This window comes from Homo sapiens, chromosome 4 (genome assembly GCF_000001405.40).
Source record: "Homo sapiens chromosome 4, GRCh38.p14 Primary Assembly".
NCBI classification, from domain to species: Eukaryota; Metazoa; Chordata; class Mammalia; order Primates; family Hominidae; genus Homo; species Homo sapiens.
This window is the reverse complement of record NC_000004.12, coordinates 47,450,523-47,475,501: the sequence shown is the minus strand read 5'-3', so window position 1 is coordinate 47,475,501 and position 24,979 is coordinate 47,450,523. Positions and strand designations below refer to the sequence as shown.

At 36.8% G+C, this 24,979-nt stretch overlaps 1 protein-coding gene and 1 long non-coding RNA gene across 7 annotated transcripts, besides 2 other annotated features; one reads left to right on the top strand and one right to left on the bottom strand.

The window, feature by feature from the left end:
* Positions 1 to 5,022: 5,022 nt before the first annotated feature.
* Positions 5,023 to 11,619, bottom strand: LOC107986277 (uncharacterized). 5 transcript variants are annotated; one of them, XR_001741681.3, is made up of 4 exons: positions 11,551 to 11,619; positions 7,879 to 8,013; positions 6,174 to 6,332; positions 5,023 to 5,429 (listed from the first exon to the last, which is right to left on the bottom strand). It is a non-coding gene; the product is annotated as an uncharacterized LOC107986277 (long non-coding RNA). The 5 variants fall into 5 exon arrangements; XR_001741680.3 differs by lacking the exon at positions 6,174 to 6,332 and having other exon boundaries at positions 11,467 to 11,619; XR_001741682.3 differs by lacking the exon at positions 6,174 to 6,332 and having other exon boundaries at positions 7,879 to 7,986; positions 11,467 to 11,619.
* Positions 10,112 to 10,161: an enhancer, noted in NCBI's record as "active region_21530". NCBI's record gives its function as "activates an Ori minimal core promoter by ATAC-STARR-seq in GM12878 lymphoblastoid cells {active_cell/tissue: GM12878}" and the evidence as "EXISTENCE:reporter gene assay evidence [ECO:0000049][PMID:35858748]".
* Positions 11,800 to 24,715, top strand: COMMD8 (COMM domain containing 8). 2 transcript variants are annotated; one of them, NM_001329668.2, is made up of 5 exons: positions 11,800 to 11,916; positions 15,203 to 15,358; positions 18,773 to 18,919; positions 22,288 to 22,443; positions 23,837 to 24,715. In NM_001329668.2, the coding sequence occupies exons 1-5, from the start codon at positions 11,851 to 11,853 to the stop codon at positions 23,855 to 23,857; spliced, it is 546 nt and encodes a 181-aa protein (NP_001316597.1). In that variant the 5' UTR covers positions 11,800 to 11,850; the 3' UTR covers positions 23,858 to 24,715. The 2 variants fall into 2 exon arrangements, with proteins under 2 accessions (NP_001316597.1, NP_060315.1); NM_017845.5 differs by having other exon boundaries at positions 18,773 to 18,925.
* Positions 11,810 to 12,069: a silencer, noted in NCBI's record as "silent region_15399". NCBI's record gives its function as "represses an Ori minimal core promoter by ATAC-STARR-seq in GM12878 lymphoblastoid cells {active_cell/tissue: GM12878}" and the evidence as "EXISTENCE:reporter gene assay evidence [ECO:0000049][PMID:35858748]".
* Positions 24,716 to 24,979: the final 264 nt, after the last annotated feature.

The following is a 24,979-nucleotide window of genomic DNA, read 5'->3' as shown; positions in this document are numbered from 1 at the left end:
GTGGTTCTTTACATTGTCCCTTGATAGGCTATTATTTTGTACAAAATCCATTTGCCATCATTAGCATATGCCCTTTGTAAGAATTCTTGACAATGTTTTCATGTGTGTGTACCTTTTATTAAACCAGCTTTTACAAATGCTAACAGAGACAGCTTATATTATCCTTTTAAATGCTCTTGATTTACATAGTTTAATCTGTGCTAAAATTCATTTGATATTTTGGAAAATATTTCTCTGCATAAAAACAGGTTAAAATAAAATGAGTTTAACAAAAATGAATTTACACAAGTGTCTGTGTTCTTTTTGTGTTAATTTTTAAGATGTACTATCTCCAGCATATACTTTTTACTCCCCATTCTCCCTACGTTCCAGCATGTCAAGTGGACACTCTGTTTTACTATCAAAGAAAGTCAACACTTGATTAGCTCTATTGAATTGTGTTCTGATGATGTCGATGCGGTAGCCAGTGCTTGAGTCTGGATTGGACTTGACCACTGGTGACTTCAAATTCTGAGGACCTCTGTTTCCTCTTCTGTAATAGGAAGTCTGATTAGATGCCTTTTGAGGTTAGGTTGGCTTCTAAGATGGTAATTATCTGTCCAAGTTTTTGTTTCCTATAATTTAGCAACAATATCAACAGAAAGGCTATATTAGAAAATTCTACCTGCATCCCCCTGGATCTGAACGTTCTTCATGATACTATAAATAGAAATCTCTTTATTCTTGGCATCAAATTTTGATTTACAAATTTACTCATTTTTGGATACATACTGACATTGGGTTTTATTATCTGTCTTTTTGATTTGGGTGATTCCTTCCAACTAAATTGCCGTGCTTATCCATTTCTGCCTATGGATATTGAACCCATCTCCCAAATCCTGCTTCTTCCTTTACCTGAAGGTCTTTGATCACCCTGACAGTGAGTTCTCCTTCTTTTAAACTCCTGGCTTAGACCCACCATGTGACATTTGTCTTTATTTTTATTTTGTTTTTGGAATTTAACTAATCTAGAAAAATACAAAGTCCATAAAACAAATTCATATTATCTTACCGTTCAGAAATTCAGAATGAATTACAGTTACCATTTTGGATTTTATGCCTCTAATCTCTTGTTTCTTGTTTTTTTTTTGTTTTGTTTTGTTTTGAGACTGGGTCTCGCTCTGTCACCCAGGCTGGAGTGCAGTGGCGAGATTTTGGCTCACTGCAACTTCCTCCTCCTGGGCTCAAGCTGCCCTCCCACCTCAGCCTCCCCAGTAGTTGGGACTACAGGTGCACACCACCATGCCCGGCTAATTTTTTTTTTTTTTTTTTTTTGGTATTTTTTGTACAGATAGGTTTTGCCATGTTGCCCAGACTGGGCCTTAACTCCTGAACTCAAGCAATCTGCCCACCTCAGCCTCCCAAAGTGCTGGGATTACAGGTGTGAGCCACCATTCCCGGCCTCTCTTGTTTCTTTGATGAAATACTATAGATATCACTAAAGTCCTCTTCAACACCAGTCCAAGTCTCATTGCCAGAAGCTACATGTACATATGTAAACTTCCAGATTATTTAAAAAATACACATATATATGCTTGTAATTTTTTTGCATTTTAACTTATGTGCATGGTTGTTATATGGTATGACAATATATAGTTCCACATCTTACGTAGGAATGTGGATCTGAGAGTTCCTTTAGGAGGAAGAAAGTACAGAAAGAAATGTTTCCTTTTTAATTTCCTGATATAAACCAGACTATGCAAGGAAAATCTGCAAAATACTTTAATTATCTCCAGGCCTTTTCTAACTTTCCTCTTCGGTTCTCTCAAGGATTGAATACGCTCATGCTAAGCTTTGCTGCTCCAAGCTCATTGTTGAGGAATTTCTCTGATAGCCCTTCTGGCCCATCTACATTCTTCAAAATTACCTATTTATTTGACTTTGACCAAGGCTGCCTTAACATTCCCCAGCTTGACTAAACTTTAGATCAGCTTCTTCCCTGACACTAGACCCCTGACCTCCATTTTTGTACAGCATATTTAGAAAACCTGTAACATATTTTCCTGCCCCTTTGAAATATAAATCTTTCAATCAGTCTCTTGTCAGTTTTAAAACTTACGAATGTATTTCTCAAGAACCTTTGAGCCATGTCTTTGAAATGTAATCAGCAAATCAGATAGTCACTCTATCTTTCATAACTTTGGTGGGTACCTTCCTCCAAGTTGTGAAACTGCATCCTGTCACAAAGATATGGGAAAATTTACTTTTCTTTTGAGTAAAACCAATTAGTAAACACATATAACTTATACACTCCCTCTCACTTCCAACACTTAGAAATCCTACTGTCCTTTGTTTCAGTGGTGTTGAGTTTGGATTGAGTTCTGGCCCCTCTCCGCTATTGGAATAATGTTGAATAGAGTCTTCCTTGCCTGTTTAACATTGTCCAATACAATTTCTGTTTTGACACTTTCAATGTTCTACCCAAATCAAGATTCCTATTTCATAATGGTTCTTCAAACAAAATGTCAAAAGGAAAGTAATCATAATCAAAACTTCAGTGACTTACATGAATGGCCAGTTCTTTCTTGAGTATCATAGGGGCTTTCATATATTTTAAAAACAGCTATCTGTTAATTCACATATATTTCTGAGCTCCTTCCAAGCAATGTAACAGCAAATAATTTAAATATTTTAGGCAATAGAGCCAGGATATTTTGGTCAAGGATAAAATTTTGGACCATCCTTTGTGGCTTTATGCCCTTGATTTTCAATTTCAGCTGCACATTAGAATTAGATGTAAAGAACATATGCTGCTGGGTCCAACCCCTGGAGATTCTGATTTCATTGGTTGTAGGTGTGAGCTGGTCATAGGGATTTTGAAAAGCTCCTCAGTGGATTCTAATTTCCAGTCAAGGTTGGAAATCACTGCCTACCCTTTACATCGTTGTTTTTTTGTATTTTCCCAAGTCGGAGTCTTGCTCTGTTCACCCAGGCTGGAATGCCGTCGTGCAATCTCAGCTCATTGCGACCTCCACCTCCTGGTTTCAAGTGATTCTACTGTCTCAGCCTCCCGAGTAGCTGGGATTATACGAGCTTGCCACCACGCCCAACTAAATTTTGTATTTTTAGAAGAGATGGGATTTCACCATGTTGGCCAGGCTGGTCTTGAACTCTTGACCTTGTGATCTGCCTGCCTCGGCCTCCCAAAGTTCTGGAATTACAGGCGTGAGTCACTGAGCCCGGCCTTCATAGTTTATTAAAGCACCTCTTCTATTTCCGAATTCAACAAACACTTTTTGGGAGTCAGCTTTGTGCCAGACACTGTCTAGATACTCAAATGAATGTGGCATGGCCTCTGCATTTCAAGGAGCTCTCAGAAAAATGGGAAAGTCAGAATATGAAGAAACAGCACAATGCAATAAGGACTATAATAGATGTTTATTCAAAGAGTTATGAAAACACAGGTGAGACAGCAATTAAAGTTCTCTGGGGGTTGTGTCTGAATTCATTAGGCGAACTAGGTGTGCATGGAGAGAGTGGCAGGAAGAAGGAGGGGAGATTCTAGGCAAAGGAAACAGTAGGAACAAAAGTCCAGGATCAGAAAACCACCATTCTCTAAATGTTCTAAAGGCCTCCTTTGTTATTGCTGCTGCTGCTGTTGTGACAACATTTGGTCTAAGCCAGGTGATCTCTTGGTTAGTAAAAGGTTACATTTGCATTTTCCAGATCTTCATCTTTTCTATGAAGTTTTGTCCACATCACTGTATCTCAACACTGACCTATGTCAAAATTATCTGGGGAGTTTTGTAACAGCAATGACGGAAGATTGGTGTTAGTAGTCAAAGAGACTCCGACAATATTTGTCTGCAGGGTATGACCTTTTCTTTCTTTCTTTTTTTTTTAAAGCTCCCCATGTGTCCACTACAAACAGGCATTAAGGATCATTTTGGGAGACATAGTGATAATTGCATTCCTATACAAATTTAGAAAACCTCGCTTGAGTAAACTTAGCCAACCTGTATTTTAAATGGGTAGACTTTATGGTATGTGAATTATAAAGCTATTTTAAAAGTACAAAACAAAAGTGTGACACATTTAAAGTTAAAAATCAATACTCAAAAATTCCCTGGGTTGACGAATGTGCTTCTTTGATTAAGAACCACTGGCTGAAATCCTAACAGCTTACGGATGTGGTGGTTGTAAATACAGGGCTTAAAAGGGGTAGCAATTGGGAGGCAGGAGGTTTTACACGCACAGAACCTTCACCAGAAAGATTAATTGAAAACCTGGTGTGCCATTAAAGAATGCCAGCCCCTGAGGATATAGCATGTATTACATCTTAGGTCCAAAATTGCAGCTTATTAAGTATTTCACTTTAACAGAGCGATTTCAGCTTTTAATGTATTGTTTTCTTTAGTGCTACACTGAAATAAATGTTATGGGCTCCCTCTATTGCTCTTCTTAAATCAAAGTATCTGTTTATTTTAAAGATCTCTTTAATGGAGATCTTAAGTGGCTCAAGCTACAAGATTATTTTTATCTACAAAAATATAATGAAATAAAGAGGTGTTAACATTTCTGAGTTACATATGATGCCCTAAAAGAAAGACAAAGGCCTTCAGTTTATTAAGTTCATTGACCAGAATGAAATGAGACACTTATCAAACTGATTTCTAAGAACCAGTTTTTATAGGCAAACAAATCTGTCTAGGTTTATACAGACAAGATTAAACTCATCACCTTGCAAATCTTTGCCAATTCGTCATTCATAACTTCTTTTAATGCAATAGAGCCAATGCCAATGTAACATTCAAATATTTTCTATATGGTTACAAGACCATAATTAAACTCCTTTGAACTTTAAGCCCCTTTCCTCTCAGTAGTTTATGAACAGGAATAATTTTGTGCAGGTTGCAATGCAAATAGCTAATTACATATATATTGCAACACAACTAATTAAGGTGAACAAATTAGTCAACTTCAAGTCATAGGATAACCTGAAAAGCAGGTTTGAACTGAGGAAATAAATGTGAAAAGAAGAAATACAGACCATTTCTTTTTATTAAAGGAATAAACATAAACTCTGAATAATGAACTAACATCTTTTCTTTATTCCTATAACATTTTGTTGGAAATTGTAATTACTGAAGATACAGTTGTCAGTTCATAGGTAGTAAAAGTACGTAACCCCAGAATTTGGGGAAAAACAAATATTTTTCGTCTGAAATTAACTAGTAAAACTCAACTCATAATGATGGGGACTAGTAATGCCCAGAGTAACCTTCTGGGACTGAAAGTTCTAGTATTTCCTGAATCTTGGTCAAGACTCCACATGAAGTAATTGCAAAGGTATGGCATCTAGTAAAATGGAGAATCAAAGAAACATAGTTTTTTTTTCTGCACAGTCAAGAGAAAAGCATGCTTTCTTCTTTCTTTCACTGGAAATATCCCTGGAATGAAAGAGGGTCATTAGGTCATGACAATTTAAAGAAAAAAATTAATTTAGGTCTATTCCATTTTCTTTCATTCAGTCTTACATTCACGGAGCCTCCTTATGATCTATAATTTGGTTGACTAAAAGAACTTGTGGATCAAAATACAGCATCCTACAGAAAAACAATTTCTACTCTGTGACATTCTGGTTTATCAATCAGTCTCTTGAGAGTTTGGTTACAATGAGTCAGTCTCTTTTGGATGAAATGATAAGCTCAAGTTTGGGGACCTAAAAAGCTGAAAAACAGACTCTTAATTCTGAATTAGTATATTCCAGAGGCTTACCTAAACAGCCAGCCAAGTTCACCTCCTTGACTTCTCTCAGATATAACTGGTATAATTACAAATTTTAATCTAAGCTGATTGTGGCAATAAAATGAAAAGGGATTGATTGGATTACTAGGCTCTCAGATTTTCCTCTTAATATAAATCTGAATCGATACATTTTTGAGGCAGATGCAAGACATTAGTTGGAGCCCAGTTTTATATTTTGCTAGTGGTAAGTGCAAGCCATGAAGGATTATGGCTCCTCATGAAAATGTGAAAGACAATTGTTTACAGTGTTTATATGAGGATTTCTTCTATGAGAAATTCTCTTTTATTTTTTAAAAGGCATGATTGTGGTAGAAACAACTATACATTTATTAAATTTCATTTCTTTCTCCACACACAGCTAAGTTATATTTCCAAAATTTCCTTACAATTGCATGCTGCCATGAAATTGGTTTCCAGGTGATGAAATGCAGGTAGGAATGATACACATTATATCTAGGTCTGGCACGTAAAAACTCCCTCCGTGATCCTTCATATTCTTCCTCTTTCATATGCAACCAATTCCAGAATAAAGAGAATTCTGAGGTCTTAGAGAATAGAAGAGCCACCTAAATGCCTGCACCGATATGCATCAGACTGTTAGGTAAGCGCACACACACACACACACACACTCACACACACACAAAGACGAAGAAGATTATGTTAAACTTCTAAAATTCTGCAGTTTTATTTAACTAATTAACCATTAAACTAATTAACCAGCTGCCTAATACAGACATTGGAATAAGGAGTGAGAGGCTGCTGTAATATAACTAAAATATGTGGTTGCTTAGCGATTATCAGTAGGCTAGAATTCTAGGGATTCATATTATGCAGTGCCTAAGACAACTCAACAATTAGGAAAGCAAATCCCATTCCAATGGAGGCTGCAGCTGTAGAGAATGGGGTAAAAAACAGATTATCATCAGTGTAATTTGATGTTGTTGGTGATGTTTAGCAAGATACTGGAGGAAGGGGCTGAGTTCAGGTAAGACCTGGGTTTGAAAGCAAAATGAAAGTGAATCATTAGAGTCAAAATTTATTATAGCTATCTTAAAATATTTAAGATTTTTAAATAAAAATTTGACTTAAAAATGCAGAAAAACTAAAAGAAGAAAATCAAAATCATCTATAATCTCCCAAATTAAAGAAAACCATTGCTAAAATTTTGTATATTCCTGTGTCTAGGAAATTGCACACTACACATGCACACACCTACACACACAGACACCCAGCACACCATGGATCACACAGAACAAATAGATTTGAAACATAACTCTTTTCCCAATAGTTATTGTGAGCAAGTTTATATTCTATTAAATATTCTTATATAAAATCACTTTTTTGTGGCTTCATTTTATGTTATAATATCATTTATTAAGCCAATAACTTATTCCTAGTTATTTGCTATTGTAAACAATGTATAAATGAATATTCTTGGAGCCAAATTTTTTTTTTCCTATATATTTCTGGAACTGGAATTTCTTTTTTTTTTTTTGAGATGAAGTTTCGCTCTTGTTGCCCAGGCTGGAGTGCAATGGTGCAATCTTGGCTCACCGCAACCACTGCCCCCCGGGTTCAAGGGATTCTCCTGCCTCAGCCTCCCAAGTAGCTGGGATTACACACATGTGCCACCACGCCCAGCTAATTTTGTATTTTTAGTAGAGACGGGGTTTCTCCATGTTGGTCAGGCTGGTCTCGAACTCCTGACCTCAGGTGATCCGCCCACCTCAGCCTCCCAAAGTGCTGGGATTACAGGCGTGAGCCACCGCACCCGGCCTGGAACTGGAATTTCTAAGTCAAAGAGTAGGTACATGTAGAAAATTTTATAAATGCAATCAAAACCCTCTAGAAAAATTGCCAATGGCAATGTATAGGAATGCCTATTTTTAAAATGTATATTATTATTTTATAATTTTGTCTTTTAATTTTTACCATTGAGATCATAACCCAAGACTACAGGCCCGTGGATGCAAATTAGGAGTCATTTACTATAATGCTTATATTAGTTGGGATCAGACTGAGGGATATTGACATGAAGCCCGCCATAAAAAAGGCTTAAATAAGGGGGAAGTAGGGTAGTATTTCACGTACATGTCCATGTAGGTAGTCCTGAGCTAATGTGGCATCAGGCATGGGTTCAACAATGTCAGGTACCTTAATTCCATCCTTTTGCCGCTTTGTACTTGGTCCATGACCTCCCTGTCCAAAAACAGCATCATTTGAGTTCTAGAAAGCAAGATGGAAGCAGAAACAAAGAAGAAAAAGGCAAATGGTACATTTGGGTTCTCCTTAAATAAAAGGTACCGAGAAGTGCTATATAATACTTCCATTTTCGTCCTATTGGCCAGCACTTGGACACCACCCACCCCAGATGAAAGGGAGGCTGGGATATGTACATTATTTTATTTGAGCTTCAGGACAACTTTATTAAATATGTGGTAGTTTTATCCCTATATTCAGTAGAGGGAACTTAGGTATGAGAGTTTATCCAACTTGTCCAAGGTTATATGGTTAGTAAGTGGTGGAGACATAACTGGAATCCAGGTCTGTCTGACTCTAGACCCTGTACACTTAATCACCACACCATTGCACCTCAAAAAGACTTTCACCAACAAAGAAGCTATAGTCTATGGCTCTGTCTCTTGTTCAGGGCATAAAACTTCATGCTGGCTTGGATGACAGATGCTTTACTATCTCTTTTAGTCTGCATTTCACTTCCACAAGCATCTCTTTCTCTTCCACAAGCATCCAATCCACCATCAACTTCTATAGGTCTTAGTTCCAAAATATATTTTGATTCTTTCCATTTGTATCTAGTTCCTGCTACCACCATCTATCACTAAGCCCCTGGAATTCTACAGTCTGGGGGTGGAAACTAGGCCATATTAACTCTAATCTCTATATTAGTTAGAATAAGTCTGGAGTAGCCTCCAAATTGGTTCCCCTTCTTTTGCTCTTGCACTCTAAGATCTGTTTTGCATAGCATAACTATTTTCCAGTTTCCATGGTATAAGCATTTAAAAATGTAAACCACATTATGTCAATTCACTGGTCCAAATCCATGCCCACATCTCTGGTATCTTCTTTACCAAATCCATGCCCACATCTCTGGCATCTTCAAGGCCTGTCCAGCCACACAGGCCTTGGGTAATTATGCTGAATAAGGCAGGCTTTCTCTTGCCTCAGAGCCTCTGCATTCTGCTCACAACTATTTTTCCCCAGATGTTGCCTTCATGTCTTTTCAGCCTTTATGCCTTAGTATAAATGCCATTTGTTAGCTAGGTGCTTTTTGACCAATCTAAGGTATATTTCTACCATCCCTTTCTATTACATGACTGTTTTATTTTCCTGAAGATACTTCTCAGTATATTTCATCATCTTAATTGTCTATTTGTTCATTATCTAAGCACTCCTTCTCCTCTGAAACCAGAAGGTAAATTATTGTCCACTGCTTGCATTCCCAGAGTCATTAGAGCATCTAATCAATGGTAGATGTTTAATCAACAATTGTTAAAGAATGAGTGAATGAGTGAATTTCCCAAAGCATGGCGCGCAAAACTCTTTCCTCCTTCCACCTCAAAACAAAAAATCTCAAGGAAACTAACTTCAGAAAAAGAGCACCAAATTATTTCACAAATAGCAAGCTTGAATTCCAGTTTAAGCTCAGCAAGGGCACACACTGTGGTTTACCTAAGATCTTTGTACACCTCTCCCAGCTGTTAGCAATGACCTACATCACCTATACAGCACTATATAGCTGGCTAGTTGGGTTTCAGATGCAGATCACATCTCTAAGGCAGTGACAGTTCACTAGGAGGGTAACTTTCTGGAACCCACTAGACTTTGGCTAGATAACAGTAGAGCAAAGAAGTCCACATAGAAGGGAATATAATACAATTTTCTATGTGCCAGGCCAGACTTCATTGCAAGAACTTCACATATATCAACTTACAACCACCCTGTAAATCCTAGGCTGTCATTATAACCAATTATACAATTTACAGGGTTGTTGTAAGGAATGAGAAACACAGAGAAGTGAAAATAGCTTGCCCAGAGTACATAGTCATTTGCAGAGCCAGGGTTTGAACTTATGAAGTTTAGCTCCAGAGTTCATGCATTTAAAGATTGCTATAGTACAAATAAGATTTGGGAGATGGAGACCAGAATATACCTCATAGAGATGGAACTACAAGAGACAGACATATGTTTTGAAAACCTCTTGGATTACACACATAAGAACATCCTCTTACTAATCAAAGGGCAAATATTAAGCGCTGTCTCTCTTGCAAGTTGTTAACTATTTTGGAAACCATATTTGTTGCAGGCTAAATTTTGTCCCATCCAAATTCAAGAGTAAAGATCAAATTCTTCTTAGTACTCAGTGTTGCTTGAAAGATGAGTTAGGACCTAATTCTCTGTCCTCTGACTAAACCTTGGGCCCTGTTAGGTGTGTCATTTTACCTTATTTAGTCATGTTACGTGGCCTTAGGTAAGCCATATCATTTCAGTTCCTCAGCAGGGGTAGTCAAGCATGCAAACTGAGATCACCGTTTCTGGCCTCAGACCAGTGATTTTGTAACTACTATCTATGTGACCTTACAAAATATATTACTTCAAGTTCATTTCCTCATCTGTAATACCCACTGTACAAGGCTGTAGCAGGAATTAGTAAGATAAAAATATATGAAGGGTTTGACATATAGTAGATGCTTGAAAGTACTTTTCTCCCAATTATTATAATACATAAAATTTAAGTTTTTTTCTCAAAATAGACCTTACCCATCATTAGATTTACAGAAAGACTCAGGTGAAGTAGTTTTCCAGACTTCTCATTTTAACTATTACTAGGGGAGCTCCTATTCACAAAGTATCTTAAGACAATTACATTTAAGATAGGGCAATGAGTGTTGTGCATCTATCTGCATTAAGAACTAGAAAGTGGTAAATAAGTGAGGGACAGCTAAAATATCATGAAAACTCACGGGAGAAAGAAATTGACTTCACCTTTTAGAGTTGAGGCACACAGAGAAAGGACGTAGGAGGTAAACCTAGAATGCTGCTAATGAGTAGTTTTTCTCTGCGTAGCCCATAGATTGAATACTTTCTCTTCTGCTTCACCATTTTGCACCACTTTTATTATTAAATTTATAAATTAGATTGTAATTCCTGTTTCTGGTCTACTAGTTATTATTATCCGCTTTTGCAGGACATGCTCATTTTACCACCACTGAATTCTTCAGCACCTGATTAAAGTAACAGCTGTAATAAGAAATAACAGAAAGGATATTTGGACTTTGAGCTTAGTCCAACATTAATAGCATGGCTCTTGAGTCTGATTGATTTTGTTTAACTTCAGACTGGGCCTCTTACTTAGGTCAGTGATTTTTAGCGTTGCCAGATAAAATACAGGACACCAGTTAAATTTGAATTTCAGATGGACAAATAATTTTCAGTATAAATATATCCCATACAATATTTAGGGGATACTTACAACAAAATATTATTGTTTATCTGAAATTTCACATTTAACTGGACGCTTGGTATTTTCATTTGCTAAATCTGACAACCTTAGTGACTTCTCTAATCATGTTTGCTTTCTGCAAATAGGGCTGAAAATAGTACCTTCTCCCTAGGATGATCTATATACAGAACGTTGCTCATGGCAAAACCTTAATTTACCTTGCAAATCAGGATACTTTAGTAGAGACTTCTGTTAAAACTCTGGGACAATGACCATGCCCAGGCACCCAAAAAGATGGTTACCTTTATTCGACGGTTTTCTAAAGAGCACAGAGAAAGTTCAATAGAACCCTAAACAAAGGTACAAACTGCGTTGAAAGATACGTAAATGTGCCTTTAATAGCACAAGGGTATCTTAGCCACATCACTGCAAACTGCAGTCTCCCTGGTTACGGGGAAAGCGGTAGTTCGGTCTCTGCGCAAGCGCACAGGGACTTCTTGGGTCCACGCCCCTCCCCGCCGGCGAGAGTCACGTGGGCGAGTCGTAGCTTTAGACAAGCGGCCAGCCTTGACACGTGACCCAAGCCCCAGCTTCGCGCAGGGATGGAGCCGGAAGAGGGGACGCCCTTGTGGCGGCTGCAGAAGCTGCCGGCCGAGCTGGGCCCGCAGGTGAGGGCGGGTACCGGGGGAAGCGGCGCGGGGCCTGGGATTCGCGACAGCCCGGCGTGCGGATCAGGCCGGGTGCGACCCGGACGCCTTCGCAAGCTCCCTAGGGAAGGGAGGAGGAAGGGGCGTGATTTCGGGTGGTTGGTCCCCGCCTTCCCTGGGGAGCCTAGGAGGACAGCTTGGGGCGCCACCCCCAGCCTAGAGGTGCAGCTCCAGGGGCTTTGCGCGCAGAAGCGCCCACACCAGACTGGGCTTTGAAAGCTTAAGTCGGTGTTTGCTGCCTCTTAGTATACGTTTTCTTAATTCATTCAACACATAACCTCCCAAAGGCTCCCTACCTACCGGACAGCAGGTACAGAGCTAGGTGCTGGAATACAATGTGACAAAGACCGAAGCGGACCCTGCCTCCCCCCTTGAGGGTGGTTGGTAGGAAGAGAAATAACTGGGCGAGTTACTTTAGTTAGGATCGTCCCAAGAGGTGATGTACCCATTGACTTCCAGTCTGTAAAAGAACCTGGCTTGTAAGAATCTGGAAAAAGCAACCACATTCATTTGTTCAGCCAGTTTTTCATTGAAGTCTACCATAGATTGAGCGCCCCGATGGGATGAGGTAAATGGTGAGTGAGACACAGCCTGTGCCCTGGTGGAGCATCTTTTTTATAAGTCTCAATTTTGGCTTCCTGTTTCCTCTATTCCATTTATACTGGAGAAAGTGTGGAGGAGACAGAAAGGAATGAACTTACCTCCTGCCAGGGTCAAGAAAAAAAAACACCTAATTCTTTTCTTTGTTTTTGCAAGTGAGGAACCTGAAATGTCAGCAGAAATTTTGGCTAACTTGCCCAGGATTGCCCATCCAGTTAGTGGCAGAGCTGGAACTTATGCTCAGATCTGTTGATTCTGAGTGTTTTATTGGCTTTTGGCTCTCCTTGTCTTCACTCTACCCATTTAGATAAGGCCCATAACCTTTATTACCATATATGTCGATGACTTCTAAATCTTTAGGTCCAGCCAAAAATTTCTTCCTCTATGGTTCAAGAATGCCAGGTAAAAAACAAAACAAAACCCCAAAAACCCCAAACCAAAATCTCTTCCCTGAGTGTCAGGCTTCTGCCACAGGTACCTCAAATTCAGTATGCCCTTGCCTCAGCTCTTCTTTCCCCCTGGACCTACTCCTCCCGTAGCCTCATTTTCGGTTTGTGGCACCACCACTTTCACCCAGCCCCTCTCAACCTGACGTTCTAGGTTTCATCCATGGCCCCCCCTTTTCACATCTCTTCTACCTCTTTACTGCCTCCATTTTGAGTGTCCTCAACAATTTAAGCCCCTTAATCTTTAACTCCTTAACTGAAAATTGAGGCATCTGGGCTCACCCTCTCTCTTACATCTTCCAACCTGTTAGCAAATATATGGAAAAATAATGCAAATGTGTGAATAGGTTGCTTCCCGGTTGAGCACAGATTGAAGTCTAGGCTCTTTTACTTTGTACACAAGGCCCTTTTTGATTTGGCTCCACCCACCTCTCCAGCCTTGTCTCCTGTCACCCCCTAGGCACCCCCCAAAATAACTTGCTTGTGTCTAGAAATGCACTTCTTCTCTCCTGTTTTGCTTGGCCAACTACTCATCCTTTTAAGATGGACTTTTCCTTGCTTCCTCTCTGTGCTCCTTCGTACCTTGTATATATTTTTATTATGGCCCCATCATTCTAAATTACATGTATTTGTATGTTTGCCTTTTTCGAATGGACTAAAGCTCTGTTATGGTAGGGCCTTATTTATTCTCAGTTTCCTCATTTGTAAAATAGAAATAATAACAATGGTTACTTCAGAGTTGTAGTGAGGATCAGTCCAGAGTGTGGTACCTAGTTAGGGATCCATAACGGTAGCTATTATAGTTTCTTTGCCATTAAATAAAGTCATTTCCATGACCTTTGTCATTAAATAAGGTCATTTCCATGACTTTATTTAATAACTGGGATGAAGTGTTCATTACATATTTGTGAATGAATAACAAACATATTCCAAAAAAGATAATGCTTTTATTTTTCAGTTTGAGTTCTGGGTTTTTTTTTTAGCATGGGGACAGTATAGGATAAGGTGTAGAGAATTTTGAATGGATTCAAAATTGAGTATGTTGATTTATGGTAAATAAAAATTCAGTTTGTATAGTATATTAGCCACCATTTGGAAGCAGTTGCTTGTGTTCTGGCATGTGTGGTGTTAGAGGGAAGGAGTTATTAGTTAAAATGGGGTGGAATATGATTATTTCCAAGTTATTTGGTTCAAATACTCCTCTTGTAAGATACAAATAACTTCAAGAAAGATAACCTTATTAAATGTTAAGTGCTTAGAATAGTACTGGCATTGTGTTATCTCAGTTAATAGATGCTGAAGGCATGAATTGGAGGAGGAGGACTAGTGATAATAATTAGAATGGTAACGAGGGCTAGCAATGTCTACATGTCTTTGTACATGCCAGGAAGATGCCAAGTGATTTGCACGTATTCTTATTCCATCCTTACAGCAAGATTAAGAGAATAGATGATATCCTCATTTAACACTTGAGGAAGCAGACTCAGAACATTTAAATAAAACTTGAAAATACTGAAACTGGGATTGGAACTGGATAGTTTTATTCCAAAATCCGTAGTCTTAATCACTATGCTCAGTTATACATGTGTTAGGCTTTCTGTTGCTGATATTAAGATACTAATAGGATAGAAAGGAAAGTAAAAAAAGGAAAAAAGTACTGGAGACTTTCTGGGAATACAGCAAAAGTAACTGCTGAGCTGGGTGCGGTGGTGCTCGTCTGCAGTCCTAACTACTTGGGAGGCTGAGATGGGAAAATTGCTTGAGTTCAGGAGTTCAAGGCCAGCCTGGGCAACATAGTGAGACCCTCAAAAGAAAAAAAAGTATGTTGTGAAAATGGAGGCAAAGCAAAATGAAGCTTATAGGCCTACAGTAAGAGACTTTGATATAAGTCCTATCCTTTTGTTTGGTCGTTGCTATAAATATGGAATCTTTTATATGTATCTTCCTTTTAGTTTTTTCATTATGTAATTTTTATAACAAAATTATTTTAGCTTCTGAAGGTCAACATAATAATAGAAAGTCTAGGATTTTTATGAGTTCTAATTTTTAATTAGAATAATCTTAAAAGTGGTTTATACATTTTAACTTAAGCTGGTCTTGCAGATAACATGAACATCTCCCAACATTTGTTTGTTAAGAGGAAGATAAATTTGTTTCATCATTTTACTTATAAGTACATTTATTTCCTTTTTTCTTGCTAGCTTCTTCACAAAATAATTGATGGCATTTGTGGTCGAGCTTATCCTGTGTACCAAGATTATCACACTGTTTGGGAATCAGAAGAATGGATGCACGTTTTAGAAGATATTGCCAAATTTTTCAAAGCCATAGTTGGTAAAAACTTACCTGATGAAGAGGTAACTTCTCTGCACATTTCTATAACTTACAATAAATAATGCTCAGGTTTCTCTCTGAGTTTTTTAGAGCAATGTATAATACAAGGGCTATCATCAGTAACAACAAATACCTTATAATTGTGAATGGAAAAATCTGTGGAAGTCCTAGGTTTTTGCAGTTTTGTTTTTGGTTGTTTTTACTCTTTTGTGAAACATTTAAAACATACAGAAGAAAACAAGAAATTATATAACTGACACCTACATTCACATTACCAGTTAAACAGGTGTTAACATTTTGCAATGTGTGTGTTTGTTTCAGAAATAAAGCATTACAAAGATAACCTAAATTCCCTTATCCCCCTCCTGGATATCCCACTCTTACCTAGAGATCACCACTCTTGAAGGTGGTGTTCATGTTTTGTATTATATATTGTGTGTATGTTTGAATCTTTTAGTGTATTGAAATTATTTGGGGTGTGTCAGTGTATAACTTGTAATAAAATGTAACATTTGTCTGCACTTGTAAATTGTTTTAAATGCAGCATTGTGTTTTACATTGATAAACATGGATCTAGTTAGTGTATTTTAACTCCTTGTAGTATTTGATGATAGGAATTAAATAGGATTTATTTATCTCCCTACTGACTAATGAATAGTCATTGCTTCTTTCATTATTACAAGTAGTGCTGCTATAAATGTTCTTTACATGTCTCCTTGTTCACACTCACACCAGCTTTTCTGGGGTAGATATCTTGAAGTGAAATTGCATGGTCATAGGATATCCTTCTTCCACTGAATTGCTTTTGCATCTTTGTCAAAAATCATTTGAGCTTGTGTAGGTTGCTCACTTTTCTAAAAATCAAGTTATGTATGTTTGTCATTGATTTGGTTGATATTCTGGATATAAGCTCATTGTTAGAAATATGTATTTTAAATATCTTCTATTATGTGCTTGCCTTTTTACTCTCTTAATGGTATCTTTTGGTGAAACAAGTTATGAAATTTAACAGATCTACTTTGTCAATATTTCTTTTGCTGGCTAATACTATTAATGTTTTGTTTCAGAAATATTTGTGCTGAAGACATGAAGATTCTTGGATGTATTCTTGTAGAAGCTTGATTGTTTTAGCTTTCACATTATGTTACTGATGCATTTTGAATTAATATTTGTGTATGGAGTGGAGGTCAAGTTCACAATTTTCTACATTAATATCTAGTTGACCATTTATTGAAATGACCATCCTTGCCCCACAATATTGCTGTGCTGCCTTTATTGTAAATCAAGTGGCCCTATATTTGTGCCTCTGTATCTCAACTCTTCAATGTATTCCATTAGTCTACTTTTGTATATTTGCCAATGCTATACTGCTTTAATTACTGTAGAATTAAAGCTAAATTAAATTATGTCTTCATATCTGGTAATAGAAGACCTTCATTCTCATGCTTCTTCAGGAGTGCCTTGGCTATTATATTTTCGGATAACCCTCTAGAATCAACTTTTCAGTTTTAACCTACAAACCTGCTGGAATTTTGATAGAGATCATTTATGGGGAGAATTGACATCTTAACAACATTTAGCTTTCCAAAGTTAAGAACATGGGATAGCCCTCTATTTATTTAGATTAGCTTTAGTTTGTCTCTCTCGTATTTTGTAGTTTTCAGTGTTGAGCTCTTGCAAATATTTTTATTTCTGAGTAAATGATGTTTTTGATCTTTAATTTTTCAGTAGTTTTTTGCTAGTATGTACAGTTGATTTTTATATACCTTGTGTCCCACAGCCTTTCTAAATTTGTTTACTGTGTCTAATTGTATACAGATTTTTTGGGGGGAGATTGTATATAATAATTTTCTTTTTCAACTTTAACATCTTTCATTTATTTTTCTTACCTTAGCGCATTGGCTAACACCAGTAGTCAGTGTTTCTTTTAAAAAAGCAGTCATAGTAGATATATATCTATTCCTAACCTTAGGGAGAAAGTGTTTACTATTTCACCATTTAGTATGTTAGCTCTGTAATTTTATAGATATCCATTATCAGACTAAAGAAGCATCCTACAATTCTAACTTTGCTGAGAATTTTTACCATGAATGGATATTGAATTTTATGAAATGCTTTTCCCTGAATTTATTATTGTTTCTTCTCTATTTTGTTCATGTGATTTTTGAATGTTAAACTAAGGCTGCACTGCCAAAATAAACCCCACTTGATCGTGATGTATTATCTTTTTTTTTATATATCTCTTGATTTGGATTGCCAATATTTTGTTTAGGATTTTTACATCTATATTTGAGTGATCTTGGCCTAGGTGTTTTTTTTTTTTCTTTTCCTCCCTATAATACTATTGTCAAGGTGTTAAGTTTTATTCTGGCCTCATGGAATGAATTGGGAAGGATTTTTTTCCTGTTCTCAGGAAGAATAAGTGAGATTGACTTTATTTATTTAGTGTTGTGCTACTTAATTTTCACACATTCAGAAATTTTTTGGTTACCTTTTCTCATTAGTCATAACTTCATTACCCAGTAATAAAAATATAAACAGTATTATTTAGTTCTTTGAGATCTGTCGTGGTTTGCCAAATGGCTCAGAATATGGTACGTTATGGTGAATGTTCCATATACATTTGAAAATAATGTGTACAGTTGTCAGGTGTAGTATTCTATATATTGCTAAGGTTAGGTAGAATGCATTTTTTCAATTCTTCTATATCCTCATTGATTTTTTTTCGTTTCTTTGTGTCAGCTATTGAGAGTTGTATTAATACCTCTAACTGTGAATGTGGATTTATTCATTTCTTTTAGTATTGCCAAATTTTGCTGCTTTATATATTTTGAAGCTATGGTGTTAGGTGCAGAGGGATTTATGATTGTTGTGTCTTTCTGTTGAATTGCCCTTTTACTGTCGTTCTCTATTTCTTGTAATGCTTCTTGCCTAAGGGCTACATTGTCTGATATATTAATACAAGTTGAGTATCCCTTATTTGAAATGCATGGAACCAGAAGTGTTTTGGATTTCGGATTTTTTTGACTTTGCAATGTTTGCATTATACTCACCAGTGCAGCATCCCTACTCAAAAAATCTGAAATCTCAACTATTCAAATGAGCACTTCCTTTGAGCATCCTATCAGTGAGCAGAACTTTTCCTGTTTTGGGATTTGAGATACTCACCCTGCGTGGTGGTATCAGCTTTGGTGTTTTCCAGGTGTATTCATTTCCATGCTGCTGCTTCCATCAGTCCTTTTTCTTTACTGTATATTTTGCAGAAATTTGTTAAAACCTATTTTCTGGTTATTCATTCTCATCTTACTCTTTTTTATAGTTACAGAAGTATTTCTCTTTTTCTTTTACTGTTGCTTTAAAAGTGTGCAAAAGGAGAGTGGAATTGTGTTTTTACATTTTAAACAGAAAGCCCCTTTTGCCTGTTTTTATTTTTATAGATATTTCAGCAGTTGAATCAGTTGAATTCACTTCATCAAGAAACTATCATGAAATGCGTGAAAAGTAGGAAAGATGAAATCAAACAGGCTCTGTCAAGAGAAATAGTTGCTATTTCCTCTGCACAGCTACAGGATTTTGATTGGCAGGTAAAGGTAAGAGTCTATGAGTATGTGTATTTTTTATTTCATTTTTTGGATATAGAGAAATATCTTTATAATATCATATATATAAAATTTGTTATTTTGGGAATGTATTATCCCAAAGAAATATCAAAGATAGTTTAAATTACATCTTGAATTAACTTGGGCATAAGTACACTACAAACATCTAAGCCATGTATAATAACATTACATTGATAATAAATATAATTAGATCTGTAAATTATTAAATGACATAAGTGATGGGGCAGCATATAGTCAACATATACATATATATATATATATATATATATATATATATATGTATAATTTATTTATTTTTTGAGACAAGAGTCGTGCTCTGTCATCTAGGCTGGAGTGCAATGGTGCGATCTCAGCTTACTGCAACTTCTGCCTCCCGGGTTCAAGCAATTCTTCTGCCTCAGCCCCCTGAGTAGCTGGGACTACAGGCATGTGCCCCCATGCCCGGCTAATTTTTGTATCTTTGGTGGAGATTTGGGGTTTTGCCATTTTGGCTAGGCTGGTCTCAAATCCTGGCCTCAAGTGATCTGCCTGCCTCCACCCACCAGAGTGCTGGGATTACAGGCGTGAGCCATCCCACTTGGTCAATATATATTTTTGACCACAACTTTCTAGACTTTATAGCTTTCTTAAGACTGGTAAATGTGATTCTACCTCTAGGAGGAAAATCTATAAGATATTATTAAAACATTAGTTTTTAATACATTTTGAGAGTCACTATCAGTAGAGTTCATAAAGAAGAATTTCAGACCAACTTTTTGTCCTTATAAGATACCTAGACCAGTAGATGAAGAGGAAATAAATACATTGTGTTTCTTGATGTTAGCATGACCCTGGATAAAGTGCCTTACATTGTGTATGTGGATTAAGTAGAGAAAAATGTGGGAAGATAACAGGTGGGTTCATAATTGGATAAATAACCAAGCAAAGACAGATGAATTTATATTAGTTAAAAAGTCTCTGTGGCTCTGGTCTTGGCCCAGTCATTTTCAACATTTTTATGAATATTATGCTTATCAGATCTGAAGGTGATACAAAACTAGAGCTATAACAAGTGTATAATGTGACACAAAGTTCAAAATTATGTCACAGCCAATTACAATCAGTGACCAAATGAAGCAAAATAAATTAATCAGGCAACCTAAACAGAGGATTTTTAATTTAAATATTTAAATTTTATAAATTTAATTTCAATTTCAGAGTTTATATTTTTATAAATATAAAAGATAAAGGAGACCAGGCACGGTGGCTCACACCTGTAATCCCAGCACTTTGGGAAGCCAAGGCGGGTGGATCACTTGAGGCCAGGAGTTTGAGACTGGCCTGGCCAACATGGCAAAACTGCAACTCTACTGAAAAAATATGAATATTAGCTGGGTGTTGTGGTGTGTGCCTGTAGTCCCAGCTACTTGGGAGGCTGAGGCACGAGAATTGCTTGAACCCAGGAGGTGGAGCTTGCAGTGAACCAAGATCATCGTGCCACTTCACTCCAGCCTGGGCACCAGAGCACAACTCTGTCTCAGAAAAAAATAAATAAATAAAGGATAAGAGAGATGTTAATAGTAGCATATATGAGAAATGTTTAGTTATTTTGGTTTATCAAAGTATAGCTTCATTCGTGTTGATTCAGGCCCGTATTTTGTTGGTAGAAACGTAGTTCTGTTTTTTTTTTTTTTTTTTTTTTTGAGATGGAGTTTCGCTCTTGGTGCCCAGGCTGGAGTGCAATGGCACGATCTCTGCTCACCGCAACCCCACCTCCCGGGTTCAAGTGATTCTCCTGCCTCAGCCTCCTGAGTAGCTGGGATTACAGGCATGTGCCACCACGCCTGGCTAATTTTGTATTTTTAATAGAGATGGGGTTTTGCCATGTCGGTCATGCTGGTCTAGAACTCCCGACCTCAGGTGATCTGCCCACCTCAGCCTCCCAAAGTGCTGGGATTACAGGCGTGAGCCACTGTGCCTGACAGAATTGCAGTTCTTCAAGCAAGAGATGGTGCTAGTACATTCTGTTTCCAGTGATAATATCTTCTTAGTGTATTATCTGTTTAGTTTTGGCTGCCAAACTTAAGAGATATTTAAGCAAATTGGACTCCAACTAGAAAAGAATGACCAGGAACTTAAAATCGTGGTGTGTGAAATTGCTTTGAAACACTGAGACCATGTACCTGGAAAAGATTAAACCTAGTAGAAACATGACACTTACCTTTAAAAGGCTAAAATTCATAGATGGGGAAATATATAAATGCTTTGTGGCTCCAGAGACTAGGTGAAGGACTAACGTATATTATTTGCAATAAGATACGTTTCAATTCAACCTGGGGAAGAACTTTTTAACAAGTATGAGTATCTGGAAATGATTGTAACCGCTTCTCAAGGTAGCACATGCATCATCATTGGTGGTATTCAAGCATAGGGTGAAAAACTATTTATTGGAAATATTGAGGAGGAGAATTATGCATAAGATAGTTAACCTGAAGCTGATACTTCCAGATCTGAGATATTATGGGTCCTGTTTTTGGGTGAGAGAATAGAGGAGCTATGTCAAGATTTGATTCTATAGTGTATGTACCACAAGGGAGATCCTTTGAGGTCATTAGGGAAGATGTCCCTTATCATTGCATAAGTAATTTTTTTGCAAGTGGCAGCATTCTAAACAAAGATTCAGTTTTTGTGGATTTTTCTGGCTCAGATTCTAGAAAAATTGAGTTTCCCTATGCTGTCTGCCAAGGAAGCTACAGTGCTCATTTCAAGAAGTATTAGTATTATAAATATTTGGTTCTTCCAATTCCCCTAGGATATATTCCAGAGAAAGAAATTAAGAAGTGAGGTAAATGTACAGAGTGTTTCTGTTGAGTGGCTCTAATTGAAGATGGTATCTTGATAACATATTTATCAATATTGTGATAGATAGCTGACCATGAATTAAGCATCTTAATTTCTGAGAGTTTACCACTATTTTTGGTCTCACTTATCTTTGTACATGAACTTTCATCTTCTTGGTGCCTTCAGTCTTCTTTAAGAATTCTCTGTTTCTTGTACATTAGACCCATTCAGTACTTCCCAGGCATGACTCTGATCTAGACACCTGCTTCTGCCACAAGATTGCTGACTGGTTGTCTTACTTTCCTACCGATTTCCTCTCCTTTATTCACTCTCCTTTCTCTTTCTGTTCTTCAAATATGCTTTAGCATGGACTTAATTTATTTCTTTCACCTTTCTCTATACTCAACAGCAAACAGTACTTTTAAAAAATGTACTGCTAACTAACCTCTGATGTATACTCAATATAGTTCTTTTTACTATTTATTAATTGCTATTTTTCTGATTTTAAACAGCTTGCACTTTCCAGTGACAAGATTGCTGCATTACGAATGCCACTTTTAAGCCTGCATCTAGATGTAAAAGAAAATGGTGAAGTAAAACCTTATTCTATTGAAATGAGTAGAGAGGAGCTGCAGAATCTAATACAGTCCTTGGAAGCAGCGAATAAGGTATTTGCTATAATTTTGTCATATGATTTGAATGTTTAAGGTTTTGGGGTTTTTTTTTGTTTGCGTTGGAGTCTCACTCTGTCACCCAGGCTGGAGGGGCAACGGCGCGAACTCGGCTCACTGCAACCTCCGCCTCCCGAGTTCAAGCGATTCTCGTGCCTGAGCCTCCAGACTAGCTGAGATTACAGATGCCTGCCACCAGGCCTGGCTAATTTTTGTATTTTTAGTAGAGATGGGGTTTTACCATGTTGGCCAGGCTGGTCTCAAACTCTTGACCTCAAGTGATCTACTCGCCTTGGCCTCCCAAAGTGCTGGGATTACAGGCATGGGCCACTGCACCCAGCCAAATGTTTTAAGTTTTGATTGATACTCCTAGACTCATAGTTCACTTTTAGTGTTTTTTCTCCAGATGTTTTATGTTAATTAAGCACAGAAAATACTTTGTTAATATGTTCTGAGCTCTAGTTTTAGATATTAATTATAACTTGTAATGTTCAATTAGTTTTGAACATAATGTACTAAGTAATTTTTGAAAGAATAATAGTGCTATTCTAACAGCTGAATTTCTTTTGCTGCAATGCTCGTTAATGATAAAAATAACATTTTTACCTTAGAATAATAAAATTGATTCTGAAGAGTTTTTATGATTAAAAAAATTACGATCCTAAAAAAAGTGGCTTTATTAACTGGACTAATAATAGAAAATTGCTTTTATGATCCTCTAACTATGGAAGACAGAATCTGACTTGTAGTTATTATGACAAAATCAGGTTGAGGCAAGACAGAACTAATGAATGTCCAAAAACTTCACATTTACAATGGAGTGGCTAAATAACAATAACTGCTCCTAATGTTTAATAAATGAGAAAAATAATACTTAAACAGTGGAAACTGTTGTGAGGAGGAATAAAAATAATTGTCTTTGTATATGTATGTTTCTTCGTTATTGCTCAGCATTTTCTCTAGTGATCTCATCTCAGTGATTAAGTCTCAGTGATTCTTACAACCTCTATTGCCCTACTATTTAATCTTCTTGATCCTCCTTTTTAAAAACTCTGATAAACTTCAGCTTCTCTCCACACTCTGCATTTGCTCAAACATTGTAGTGCTTTGATTACCGGTCCACATGCCTATTAACCAAACGAGCAGCTCAGGCTTGGCTGGATGGCTGGGGCTACATGTGTGAAGGGTGCATGTGATAGAGCCCGATATAAATGGTAACAGATTCTGAACCGTAGATTCCAGCAGGCATATGTCATCAGTTACTGTGCATTGTACTTGCTTGTTATGAGTTCTCCATGCCCTTTTTCAGAGACTTCAAAGCATTTAATATGGAATATATCAGCATCAGTCTTGTATAACCTGATATTTTCTCTTCAATTTGTGTTTTAAGGTGGTCCTGCAGTTGAAATAACTGGAAATGATGAATACCAGTCCTATCAGATTTTATTGCTCCAACTTATATGGCAGAGTGAATACTGCGTGTTCAGAAACCTTGTGATGTCTTGACTGTTGCACCAGGCTGAGAAAGCAGCAATATTGATATTATAAAGATAAAAATTTATCAACATTCCTTAACAGGAAATTACATGGTTGAGAGGAAATGCATAAAATGAAAGATGAAAAATCTATAGTAGCAGTTTATATTTTCATGATTGTTTTGCCTCATTTATTAAATATTTGAGAAATCTTTGGAGATACATAGTTTTATTGAAAGCTAAAAATAGGTTCTAAAGTAATGTAAAAATATAAAGCACAAATATACTTGAATATTGCTTAAAGAATTGTGTGAATAGCAACATATATTATGGATATATACTTTGTGATATTTTTAAAAAATAATTTTTTCAAAGAATGTATAAGCTGCATATATAACTCAGGAGATTCCATGTCTTTCTCATATTTCAGAGGAAAGATTATAAAATATAAAATTTCTTAGAGAACACCTCTTTGTCAGAGATAAACAAGAACAAATACTCTAAACTTATGTGAACAGTTTTGAGTTTATGAATTCTAGAAACTAAAATCAAGAATACAGAAAAATGAAAATAACATTTTACTTCTGCGCTTCTATGTTTGGGAAACATTGCTCTGATAAAAAATAGCTGTCATTATGCAGTGTGTATATTCAAATATGAGATAAGACTATGTACACATCCACTTTTGTTAATAAACTCAATATTGAATACTTTGGGATGTTAAATTCATTGGAAAAACAAACCATTTGTAACCTCAGTTAACTTTAACAACAAGCATTCTGAGCAAATGAAAAGTGTCTTGTTTTATTTTTATATATTGCTTTATTTTAAATGACTCCAAATAACTCAGTAGTTATACGTAATTATACGTAACTCAATAATACATAATTAATAGGTGCTTGCTATTTGCAAGCCATATGGCTTATTAGAGCATCAGACTATTCTTTGAGGCATCCGGAGCAATTATTACTATTCTCATCATACAGATGAGGATAGGCTTAGAGTGTTTTCTGAGTGTGATCTAAACAGTGCTACTCAAAATGTGTCTGCAGAGAAGT

What these genes read in the sequence shown, in the direction of transcription:
- COMMD8 (NM_017845.5), top strand. Translation starts at nt 11,851, where the DNA reads ATGGAGCCGGAAGAGGGGACGCCCTTGTGGCGGCTGCAGAAGCTGCCG. An exon ending in CGGCCGAGCTGGGCCCGCAG is followed by an intron (nt 11,917 to 15,202) that starts GTGAGGGCGGGT and finishes TTTTCTTGCTAG; the next exon opens with CTTCTTCACAAAATAATTGA. An exon ending in CCTTGGAAGCAGCGAATAAG is followed by an intron (nt 22,444 to 23,836) that starts GTATTTGCTATA and finishes TTGTGTTTTAAG; the next exon opens with GTGGTCCTGCAGTTGAAATA.